Raw genomic sequence first — 12,178 nt, 5'->3', positions numbered from 1 at the left:
TCTCGCCCAGGCTGAAGTGCAGTGGTATGATCTCAGCTCACTGCAGCCTCAACCTCCTGGGCTCAAGCAATCCTCCTGCCTCTCAGCCTCCCAAGTAGCTGGGACTACAGGTACGTGCCACCTCTCACTTTAAAAGATACAATGTGTGTTGGGCTGGGCATGGTGACTCATCCCTGTAATCCCAGCACTTTGGGAGGCCAAGGTGGGCGGATCACAAGGTCAGGAGTTCAAGACCAGCCTGGCCAACATGGTGGAACCCCGTCTCTACGAAAAATACAAAAATTAGCCGGGCATGGTAGTGGGCGCCTGTAGTCCCAGCTACTCAGGAGGCTGAGGCAGGAGAATCGCTTGAGCCCGGGAGGTGGAGGTTGCAGTGAGCTGAGATCACATCACTGTACTCCAGCCTGGGCAACAGAGCAAGACTGCATCTCAAAAAACAAACAAACAAACAAAAAACTGTACAGGCATCAAAAAGAATAAAGTTAACCTCAATTAACATACAAAATGAAAAGAGATGCTAAACTGTGCATACACCGTGATGGCATTTCAGGAAAGACAAAGCCAGAACTGCACAGTCCTGCAGGTGCCTAGGAGAACCCCGGGACAGCCACGCAGCACCGGGGAGGCTGACGAGAACCCCGGGACAGCCACGCAGCACTGGGGAGGCCAACGACTCCCAAGCCGCACACGTTAATGGTTCATTTCATGTTATCTGAATTTTACCTCATTTTAAAAAGCGTAAGAATTCCCACTCAACTATTATCATTAGCAGTGGTTCCCCCAGGAGATGGATTGGGTGGGGGAAAAGGACTTATTTTATCTGTACTACTGAAAGACTTTACAGTGAGAATTACCATTAGTACATACATAAAAAACAAAAACAAACAAAATGTGGAGGGACAATTTATACTTAAGGAAAGCTATACTTATTTTAAGTAAATATGATTATGCAAACAATTCATGCAATCTGACTATAAGTATGCAGAGGGGAAATTTCTGGAAGTGTGTTTTTTTTTTCTGGTGTGGCAGCTTGTAGGTGATTTTTATTTTCTTCTTTGTGTCTGATTTTCCAATGTTCTTTGATAAACATGTTTTACTCTAATACAGGGCGATACACTAGTGTGGGCCGCACAAGTCCTGGCCTTTGTCTGAGAGGGCAAGGCAGGCGTGAAGCCCAGAAACCCCGCGGGAAGGATGGGGCTTGTTTTCTCCCCCAAAACACCCAAGACCGACATCCGCGGGGAGGCGCCACGACACCGACGTCCGAGGGGAGGCGCCATGAGTTTCGGGAAGCTACAATCCACACCACACCAACGCCTTTTCCATCTAAAGATACACTCAAACGCAAGGCTGAGCTTGGGCCCTGACCGCCAGCATACTGTCAGTCACAGAGAGACACACATTTACTACAACACGCGTAGGGAGACCTTCAGAAAACAGCACGTTTCGGTGGCTTCTCTCAATTATCTGTGAACCTCCTTATTCTGCCATAGTAGAGTGTATGGAATGTGCTTTTATTCTAAGAAAAATGTTATGTTCAACCTATCAATGGCATGCTTCAAAACACAGCCTCAATAAACACTGAATACACGGAATCCTTGTGCGCGTCGATTAAGCTACGCCACGGCTCACGTGCAGCACCCCCGGGGCCCTGGGGTGCCAAGTGCTCATGGAGGCAGGTGGCTAAGGGGGAGCACCTGGGTCAGACGCCTGGGTTCAGCTCCAGGCTCCCCCACCTACCTGCGAGCCTCCTGAGCTGGCTAAGCCCCAGTTTGCTTGTCTGTAATAAGGGGGCTGCCGTGATCACCCATGAACAGTGCCTGGCGCAGAGTGGCCGCTCAGCGGTGCTGGTCCACATGGAGGAACCCAAGCAGGCACCGTGCACAGTGCTGTGAGGGGAACCCACGTGCCGCCCCGCTCCCGCCACCTTTCCCGGCCCCTTTCACACTTTCTTATTGTGCTGTATTAACACTAGCAGTGTCCATAACACCACAGCAGACACAACCACAAGTGAGGGCCACGAAGACAAGATGGTAAAAACGAGATGCGAGAAATCTTAGGGCAGAAGCCTTCGTCCTGTCGCCATCCTTCATTATGTCCGGTCATTTGAATAATACTGGACAAACGCCCCACGTCCCGGGCAATGCCAGGCTCGGAGTGGATAAGACAGACCTGGCCCTGCCCTCCTGAGGCTTCCAGCACCTCCAGGCACAGCAGAACGTGAGCTCGAAGGACAAGCTGCTAAGGGCTTGAGAACCAGGCAGCACCCGGCCCGGCCGAGGGTCCCAGCCTCTTCCTGCTGCAGGTGAGAGAGATCCTGGGCCAGGCAGTCATGAAGGGCACAGAATCCCAGCCCCCCAGGGAATCCCAGTCCCGCCTGGAAGCCGCAAAGGGGCCTGTGGTTCTGTCTCTCCTGCAGGCCCAGGAGGAGGCCCCCCGCGGTGACACCCACACTCTTGCCCAGTCGCCTCTGAGGGAAGCCCATGTCCACATCAGGGGGTTTCCTGCAGTGACTGCTGCTGTCCCAGAACAAACCAGAGTCACGTGTGTCCTTCCCAGACCTACAGGTTCTCTGAAGGCCCCTCCATCACCATAAGCACAGGGCTAGCGACCACGGGAAATGTTTTCCCGACACGAACACTGGCATAACCACTCTTCACAGGACAGACCAGAGCAGCGTCCCAAAGCCACTCCTTCAGTATGTGTGAACATCTGTGCCGTTTTATAAAAATAAAGGTGTGCATCTGAAAGTGACTGTAGTTTTATTAGTTTCGCTTACGTAGAAATTTTCTTTTGCTCACGTCAAGTCCAAATTTATAGAATTTCAAATACTTTTAGGTACAAAATTACTAACCACATAAAATGTAAACTAGAAGAGGACAGGAAGGACAAAGCTGGTTTGGGGTGTACTTCTTATGCTTTCAAGGGATAATTTTAAGTCTCCAAGACAAATAGTGCAGACACTGAGACTTACAGAAAGGAAATATTAAATTTGGAAAACACACCTTTTTCTGAGTTTTAAAGGACTGAGACTTACATTTTTGATTCCTGTCCCTAGAATAAACTCTCGACACGGGCCCGGGGGCCGCGGGGTGCGCCGTGAGCACGTCCTTGCGCTCGGACAGCATGCTGCAGTTGCTGCAGGAGAAGCCGTTGTGCGCGGTGGCGGCGGCGGCTCCCACATCCCCGTTTCCCTGAATGGCAGCTTTATTTCCACCTAAAGTTTTCAAACAGTAGATGGAACCTGTTTATCACAGTCTGCAGATATTTAACTAAAACTTCTATTTTGAAAAGTATATGAAGATAAAAGGACTAAAATAATTACCTTTAAGATCACCATCATCATCAAGACCTAAAAAAAAAAACACACACACACACACATTTTTGCTGTTGAGCTCAGCTTATCAAATAAGAACAAAACCCATTAAAAAATGTAAAGGTTACAATGGTTAATAAATCAGCATTATGGCACTGGTCACAGTTTATTTCCTAAAATGCCTCCAGATATATGCAGATACCATCTTCTGACTGAAGGTGAAAGCTTATCCTTGAAGAAAATACAGACAGACGGCAGCACACACAGCACCTGGCCTAAGGAGGAAAGCAGAACATGAGGGAAGGAGAGGAAAGCCCATCTATCTTCTCACAGCCCGCTCAGCAAGGCACAAGCCTCAGCAGCAGCAGATGCCTCTCTGTTGCCTGGTAACCACTCTCACTAGCTGAGCAAAACAGAACAAACACCAATACCAAGGCTTCCCAAAATTAGCACATGTGATCTCTGGAACTAATCTGGATCTTCTAATTGTCTCAAAAGGGCCAACCAGAACATAAACCGAATGCAGATGAGCGGCTGGGCGCCCCTTACCATGCTTCCCTCTCCATGCACAGCCTTGGGACCCCATGCTCTCGCCAGCCAGGCTGGGGCTCCCACTGCCCAGACTCCACGTCAGCCAAGTCTGAGCGCCAGTGCCTCACCCTGCAGCATTCTCTAAGAACTCTCTAACCCTGGCTGCTTCACTGCTTAGAGCTTTCTTGGAAACACACTGAAGTTTTTGGATTGTCTTTGTTCAAACATCCTACAAAAGTAATGCATTTATAAAAACAGAGTTATAAGATTACTACCTGCTGCTTCATCTCCCCATTGGAACTAGTCACTACACGTTAGCATAACCCAATGACCACCCGACAAGGCGCACATGGAAGCAGCTTCCAAGGAGCGTCCTGATCAAGTCTGAGGACAAGCCTGGAACCTAACTGATGCTCCTACCAGCCAGTCACGCAGCAAACCCACAATGTGGCCACAGCCTCCCTCTCCCTAGCATAATCCATGCAAACCGACAACCTGGCCACCGCCTCCCCTCTCCCCAGCATAATCTGAGAAACACCCCAACTGTAGGCGGGACAATCTGTGTCTCGCAGGGACTCACCCCAGAAGTGGTCCACTGTGGTCTGTTCACGAATCCAAGACTCGTCCAATACAGGAGGCCGTCGAGTCACAGCATCCTGCAGGCTGACAGTGCCGCCGTGGCTGACGCCAGAGGACGTGACCTGCCTTGACACGTGGTTGATACTAAAAGCTGATTTGTTTGTGCTTCTGCGCTGTTTTGTTGTTCTAAGAAGAAAAAAAAACAGCAAGTTTATAGATCTTTTCTAGCAAATACAAAATGATTACATTTGACCAACACAAACTCTTAATCTGGGAATAAACAGCATTTTAAGGCAAACCATTTTCCTATGCCTTTTCTGCTGTAATGAATCAACTGTTAATATAAAAAAGGAATTTTTGAGCTGGGATCCAAGAACTCCCTCTAAAATTGTAAACACAAAATAGTTTCCAGGTTATTTTGGGCACCATGACCCCAAGTGGTTAAAAGCTAAAATAAACTAGAAATAAAAAAGATCTGAAAATAAAAACATCTGTGATTTATAAATTTAATCCTCCCCTTTTCTAAAAACGATTTCTAAGTTGCTGGTAAAGATGGAATTGTGTTAAGTACAACAAGAATAGGTAGTCATGGCCAGGCGCGGTGGCTCTCACCTGGAATCCCAGTACTTTGGGAGGCCGAAATGGGCAAATCACGAGGTCAGGAGATCGAGACCATCCTGGCCAACACGGTGAAACCCCATCTCTACTAAAATACAAAAAATTAGCCGGGCGTGTTGGCGGGCGCCTGTAGTTTCAGCTACTCGGGAGGCTGTGGCAGGAGAATGGAGTGAACCTGGGAGACAGAGGTTGCAGTGATCTGAGATCACGCCACTGCACTCCAGCCTGGGTGACAGAGCCAGACTCCGGCTCAAAAAAAAAAAAAAAAATAGGTGGTCATAGGCCAGGTACGGCGGCTCACACCTGTCATCCCAGCACTTTGGGAGGCTGGGGCAGGCGGATCACCTGAGGTCGGGAGTTCAAGACCAGCCTGACCAACATGGAGAAACCCCATCTCTACTAAAAATACAAAATTAGCTGGGCATGGTGGCACATGCCTGCAATCCCAGCTACTCGGGAGGCTGAGGCTGGAGAATCGCTTGAACCTGGAAGGCAGAGGTTGCGGTGAGCCAAGATCGCGCCATTGCACTCCAGCCTGGGCAACAAAAGCGAAACTCTGTCTCAAAATATAAGGGCCAGGCGCAGTGGCTCATGCCTGTAATCCCAGCACTTTGGGAGACCAAGACAGGTGGATCACGAGGTCAGGAGATCGGGACCATCCTGGCTAACACGGTGAAACCCCGCCTCTACTAAAAATACAAAAAATTAGCCAGGCATGGTGGCGGGCACCTGTAGTCCCAGCTACTCGGGAGGCTGAGGCAGGAGAATGGCGTGAACCCAGGAGGCGGAGCTTGTGGTGAGTCGAGATTGCACCACTGCACTCCAGCCTGGGAGACAGAGTGAGACTCCGTTTCAAAAAAAAAAAAAAAAAAAAGAATAGATGGTCAAAAAATAATTTCTGCATTCATATTGACCACAAATGACAACAGGAAAGCCATCAGATGAAAACACCCTGTGAATGTTACCACCGTCAGGTAGGGGGAACCCAGGACGATGAACAAGATCCTCCCCTTCGAAGGAAGCTTGGGAGGCCAAAGGCAGCAGTGACACCCGGCAGAGGGAGGACGACGGCCACAGGAGCGTGGCGCGGCAGAGCGCGGCGTGGCAGTACAGCTGCAGCACACTTGCTCTCCACGCCACTGGGAGACGGAGACTGGGCTGCTGTGCGACCCTGGTAACTGGGTGCTTGACACGGAGCTACCCAATGGGATCTGCTGGTCCTCAGCTGCATCATGAACTCACACCCTGCATCTCCAAGGGTGAGGCTGGGAATCGAACTCTTTGCGCAGTGAACTCCCTAGATGACTGTGGTGCCTGTGGAAGCCACCGGCTGGGAGTGGCTGTTCAGATCCCAGGCAGTTCTCCACCCATCAACCATTCCGCCATCGCTCTTAACAGCCACCGTCTTCCTTCTCGAGAGAAAGATGACTGGAACGGAAGCTCTTATTCTTACATGAGCAACATAAAGCTGTCACTTTTATTATCCCTAAATGGCACAAAGATCTTGTAGACTTTTGTTCCTTCTCTGCACAGAAGTGGGCACGTGGAGAGTTCAGAGATCAAATGAACTCGACGAACGCAAATATAGGTAAATAACCTAAACTTTATGTATTTGTCAGTTAACACACAGATTTTTAATAAAGACCTAAAGAATGAACTGGGCCGGGCGCAGTGGCTCACGCCTGTAATCGCAGCACTTTGGGAGGCTGCAATGGGCGGATCACCTGAGACCAGGAGTTCGAGACCAGCCTGGCCAACATGGTGAAAACCGCGTCTCTACTAAAAATACAAAAATTAGCTGGGCGTGGTGGTGGGTGCCTGTAGTCCCAGCTACTCGGGAGGCTGAGGCAGGAGAATCTCTTGAACCCGGGAGGCAGAGGCTGCAGTGAGCCAAGATCACGCCACCACTGTACTCCAGCCTGGGCAACGAAGTGAGACTCTGTCTCAAAAAAAAAGGAAAATTTGCCAGGCGTGGTGGCGGGCGCCTGTAATCCCAGCTACTCAGGAGGCTGCGTGCAGTAGAATCGCTTGAACCCGGGAGACAGAGGAGGCAGTGAGCTGAGATCGTGCCACTGCATTCCACCCTGGGCGACAGAGCGAGACTCCGTCTCCAGAAAAAAGAATGAACTGGACACGGAGATCGTCCACGACAGCATGTGTAATCTGTAAGATTCCTTCCTCTTTACACATGTGGTAGGACAGCTGTAGCTGAGCTCCCACCACAGGACCACAAAGCTTCCAGACCTGAGTGCTGGCACTGCACGTGGCGTGCACCAGCGAAGAGAACTTGAAACAAGAACAGCAGAACATCAATACTAGACAAGCCACACAGATTCCAGAGTTCCTTTCAGTCTTTATTTGCAGCAAACTACCACTTTATATGACAGGTTTGTGTGTCTGTACACGCACATACACACACATATCCTTAAGCTCGAGACAGGGTGCGGCTTTACAGACCAAAAAGTATGGAAGCTTGGTTTTAACTGGTGTTAGAGATCAGATGGAGAGGAAGTGCAGCGGTGCTCACCTGGCCGCTCGGTTCTTCAGGGAGACAGCGCTGCTGGTGCCGCTGTCGGCACCCACAGCCTCACCATCCCCCAGGGTGCATGCTGTCGTGGCCAGGCGCAAACTACGGCGGGACATCCGTGGAGAATCAAATACAGGGTCCAATTTGTGCTCCGTCTCAAAATCCAGAGCATCTGAAGAATAGCTGGAACTAGAAGGAAAAAGCTCATCAGAGGTAAGCAGTGCTTATAGCCCCCATTCTGAAACAAAATGAACAAACCATAAACTGAAAGTGCAATGTACTGTGGATTTTCAAGAGCAACTATTACTGGGTGACAACCTCACTCTAAAGCAAACGTACGGTGGCACACAGGTCAGCCAGCATGGGCTCCTGACATCTGCCCCAGCCACTCTTCCTTCACATCAGATGTAGGACAGCACATTCCCAGATGCTGGGGCCCAGCGTCTACAACTCACCCTAAGAACTGCTTGAGGGCATATGCTAGAGCCCTGAGTCCCCACCTACGTCCTTGCTATAAACACATCAGAGTGTGTTTCCTCGTCAACACTACGCGGACGTGAGATTTAATCCAATACACCAGTGCGCCGTAGAATGAATCCACGCAGGAGAGGAGGCCAAGTGATCGGGCCGTCAATGCTCCCCTTCTAAATTTAGAATTTATCTAAAGGCTTCAGACAATTCACAACTGCTTTGAGCCTGTGACCAAAAGACAGTCACTTCCAATACCTTCCATATAATTATTCAACTAATGTAATTAAATAAAAAGATGAGCCAGGCACAGTGGTTCACGCCTGCAATCCCAGCACTTAGGGAGGCCTAGGCAGGAGGATTGCGTGAGCCTGGGAGTTTGAGGCTGCAGTGAGCTATGACTGTGCCACTGCACTTCAGCCTGGGCAACAGAGCTAGACCCTGTCATACGTTCATGACCAACAGTAAGTTAATACAAACTGCTTTGAGTCACTACACACAATTTAAGAAAGAGGTTCTTCTTTAACTTAGAGGCTGAGGTGGGGACAAGAGAGAGACTGCACTAAGCTATGTTGAATGCTGATGACTGTTATGAAGCCAGACAGAATTTCAGTGTCATCTCAAGAAGGGTTTGTTTCTAGCAGAATATTTTACACAATTGTGATTCTAGTTTAAGAAAACCTGTGAACCCAGCCACCATCCATAACATGGTTCCTACAGACAGGTATGCCCAGAGCCCTGCAGGAGGACACCAGTGTCCAGTGGAGACAGGAGGACACGGATGCTGGCCCAGCACCATCCCAGGAATCAACACAGCCCAGTAGGCTATCGTATTAAAGCACTTTATTACCTTTTCTGCAATGTTTGGGGGAACATAAAATTTCAAACGGAGGTCTCCAGTCTAGGATTAGAGAGAATTAAGTAACAGAACAAGGAGACAAGACTGACAAAAACTCTGAAGATAAGAGATCTCACCTTTAAGACCACTAGGCCTTAACGTCTCTCTCTGATTAGTTATGCACTGTTCTTTTAAAAATGTGTTATTTAGATGTACTTTGTATCAAAAGATTGAAAAAAATTGACTCCAATTGAAAACCAGAGACAGATACCAAGCATCCCTGGACCCACAGCACCTGCCCGACAAAGGCACACGAGGTTAACTCAGCTCAGGGGAGCCGGACCAAAAGCGGCACAGTCCACGTGTCTGAGACTGACGTGCTTCAGACCGCTGCTCAGAGTGTGACGGCTGTGCCCTGACACCGACTCCAGCCACAGACCCCGGCTCGCCCCAGCTCTTCCAGCCACGGAACCCTGCTCACCCCAGCACTTCAGAGCCTCCGCAACCAGGGCTTCAGCTCACGAGGGTTCCCCAGCCCACTGTCCTGCTGCCCCAGGGGGCCTGGCACTCTCCCTGCCAGGACAGGGTGGGCCTAGACGCTTTCTCCCAAGCTCACCATGTTGCAGGTGTGAGTGCGTCATGATTCGCAGTCCCCAGGTCCTCAGGCCATCCATGCGTCGGGGGCCATGTGTGCCCAGCCCTCAATGGCCTTCTCAGACCCCCTCCATCCGCCCCACGTCTGACGTCACCACCTCCTTCCCTCCAGCTCTCGGTCTCTGTCAGAAATGCCCTGCATTTTTCTTCCCAGAAAAGCCAGATGCCATCAGAAAACTGCCTCCTCCTTGACCGCGCCCATCCTTTCCCTCTGCAGGGGTTACCTGCATGTGTCAACCTGACTGGGCCTTGGGCGCTCAGATATTTGCTCCAACATTATTCTGAGTGTATCTGTGAGGTTATTTCTGGATGACAGTAACATTTAAATTAAAACACTAGGAAAGCAGACTGCCCTCCAGTCAGCTGAAGGCCTGGACAGAACACGAAGGCTTCAGTAAGAAGGAGCTCCTCCTGCTGGACAGCCTGGACCTGGAACGCCAGCTACAAACTGCCTTCAGACTCAAACCAGAACATGAGCTCTTCCATGAGCCAGCTGACCTTCAAACTGGAACTATACCGTGGTTCTCCTGGGTCTTGGGCCTCTGGACTTGGCCTGGAACTTACACCATCGGCTGCCCTGAGTCTCCCCTTGCCAACTCAACCTGAAGATCTTGGGCCTTGCCAGCCTCCATGAGCCAATTCCGCATAATCAATCTATTCCTATGCACCTATTCATACGTTTACTCATGTTCTACCCTGACACACCCTTCCTGCCTGCTGCGATGGAAAAGTAATCCCGAGCCAAGCCTGCGTGCTCTGGATGGAGTTCCTCCTTCCCTCCTCTCTCTCTGCAGGAGGCCCTTCCTCGTTCTCCTACATCTTCAGCTTCTCTACTGGCTCCTGACCACCAGCATCTAGACACACGCTTGGCTCAGCCCACGGTAAAAAACAACTTCCCCTCAAAGCCACGCCTCTCCACCTCCCCCAGCAGCCGACAGGTTGCAGCGCCGGCTAGTTTCGGCTCGCTCCTTGCCCCGTGGAGGCTCTGAAGCGGCTTCTGCCAGGCCCCCCGGCCTCCATGGCTGAGTTGCCCCTTCTTCCCGCCTGTCCAGCAGCATCTGCCCCTGCTGACAAGTCCCCCATTCTGGAAACTCTCTTCTTTCGGCTTCCACAGCCAACACCCCCATGAGAGGCTGGATGGTGGGACCCTCATGTCTCCAGCCCCCCTGGATCTGAGCATGGGCAGCAGCACGTTGGTTCCGAGGGCTCCGGGAAACATCCTCCTCTGACCCTGAAGTTCAAGGCAACCATCACCAATGGCTGGATTTTACTGCGGGTGGGTCAAGCTGACAACATCCATCAGCCTCAGCGCTAACAGAGGAGACACGTCAGACAGCACAGACTCAAGCTGTGACAGGGAGCAACATCCCGTAACACCATCTGTCACAGAGTCACGCCAATGAAGAAAGAAACCAAAGAATGACTGCACTTCCAGACTTAACTACCAGTTGACAAGAATTACAGATTGAGATTTAAGAGGGAAATCACCCAATGTAACATGAGGATCCTGTTTAGGCTAATTTAAAAAAAAATTAATTGTGAAAGAGAAAATTCAAGGATCTGGGATATTGGAACACTGACTAAATACATTAAGAAGCCCTTTTAAATGACTGGGATGATAGTGGTATTTGGGTTATTTTAAATATATCATTATCTTTTAGAGACTGGCTTTAAAGAATCCAGTGAAGTTCCAGGGGAAGTTGAGAGTAAGTGTTCGGGCCCACCCTGTCCCAGTGAGGAGAGTGCCAGGCCACTGGTGCAGGACAGCGGGCTGGGGAACCCGTGAACTGAAGCACCAGTCGCAGAGGCTCCGAAGTGCTGGGTGGGGGCGGAAGACCCGCATGCATCACTGGCGAAGCCAGTGGCCGGCAAATGGGCTTGTCACTATTCTCTCAACCTGCATATTATCATTTTCCAAAAGAGAAAAAAAATTTTATTTTGTTTACTTTTTGAGACAGAGCCTCACACCGTCTCCCAGGCTGGACTGCAGTGGCGCGATCTCAGCTCACTGCAACCTCCACCTCTTGGGTTCAAGCGATTCTCCTGCCTCAGCCTACCAAGTAGCTGGGATTACAGGAGCCTACCACCACACCCAGCTAATTTTTGTATTTTTAGTAGAGACGGGGTTTCACCATGTTGGCCAGGCTACTCTCGAACTCTTTACCTCAAGTGATCCACCCGCCTCAGCCTCCCAAAGTGCTGGGATTACAGGCGTGAGCCACTGCGCCTGGCCCCCAAAAGAGAAAAAAAATTTAATTAAAGAAAGTGAGTGGCCAGAATGCTGGACTATCCTTTCAGTGTTTACTGAAATTGCTAAGAATCAAGACAAGGGTAGTGATGGAGACAGAAAGCCATCAGGAACGGCCGCTCCACCTTCCAGCTGTGCGGGGAGGGCTGCAAGACAAGGGGAACTTTCAGAAAAGAGGTCAGGGCTACGAGGAGCCAAAGGAAAGGAAGCAGAGAAGAGTGTAAGGACCCAACGCAAGGCCGGCCAGCTGAGGTGGCAAGGTCTGCGGGAGGCCAGCCCAGGACCAGGAGGACCCAGGCACTGATGTCCAGACCAGCCCTGAGGCCCCCACCTCCAGTCTCCGGCTGTGCTCCACGGGCCTCCACTCAGGTGAGGCGGCTGGTCCTTCCCTCTGGTCCT

The 12,178-nt window shown here is 50.5% G+C and overlaps 1 protein-coding gene across 75 annotated transcripts in view; it reads right to left on the bottom strand.

Annotated features, from left to right (window-relative positions):
• The window catches only part of SUN1 (Sad1 and UNC84 domain containing 1), a 59,378-nt gene that overhangs the window by 28,377 nt on the left and 18,823 nt on the right, over positions 1-12,178 (bottom strand). For 67 of the 75 annotated variants that reach the window (NR_160282.1, NR_160283.1, NR_160281.1 and 64 more), the window contains 4 exons: positions 7,572-7,760; positions 4,428-4,612; positions 3,326-3,352; positions 3,038-3,217 (listed from right to left, as the gene is read on the bottom strand). Coding sequence is in view for 71 of the 75 variants with exons in the window: in NM_001367634.1 (NP_001354563.1) it covers positions 3,038-3,217; positions 3,326-3,352; positions 4,428-4,612; positions 7,572-7,760 (581 nt within the window). In the remaining 4 variants the exon portion in view is untranslated. Of the gene's footprint in view, positions 1-2,745; positions 3,245-3,325; positions 3,353-3,449; positions 4,077-4,427; positions 4,613-5,038; positions 5,185-7,571; positions 7,761-12,178 lie in introns of those variants that run through there. The other 8 variants (NM_001171946.2, NM_001171945.2, NM_001367695.1 and 5 more) reach the window with 6 other exon arrangements.

The sequence above is a fragment of the Homo sapiens genome, chromosome 7 (assembly GCF_000001405.40).
Source record: "Homo sapiens chromosome 7, GRCh38.p14 Primary Assembly".
Taxonomy (NCBI): Eukaryota; Metazoa; Chordata; class Mammalia; order Primates; family Hominidae; genus Homo; species Homo sapiens.
The sequence above is the reverse complement of the archived record's forward strand: the minus strand, read 5'-3'. Positions and strand labels throughout refer to the sequence as shown.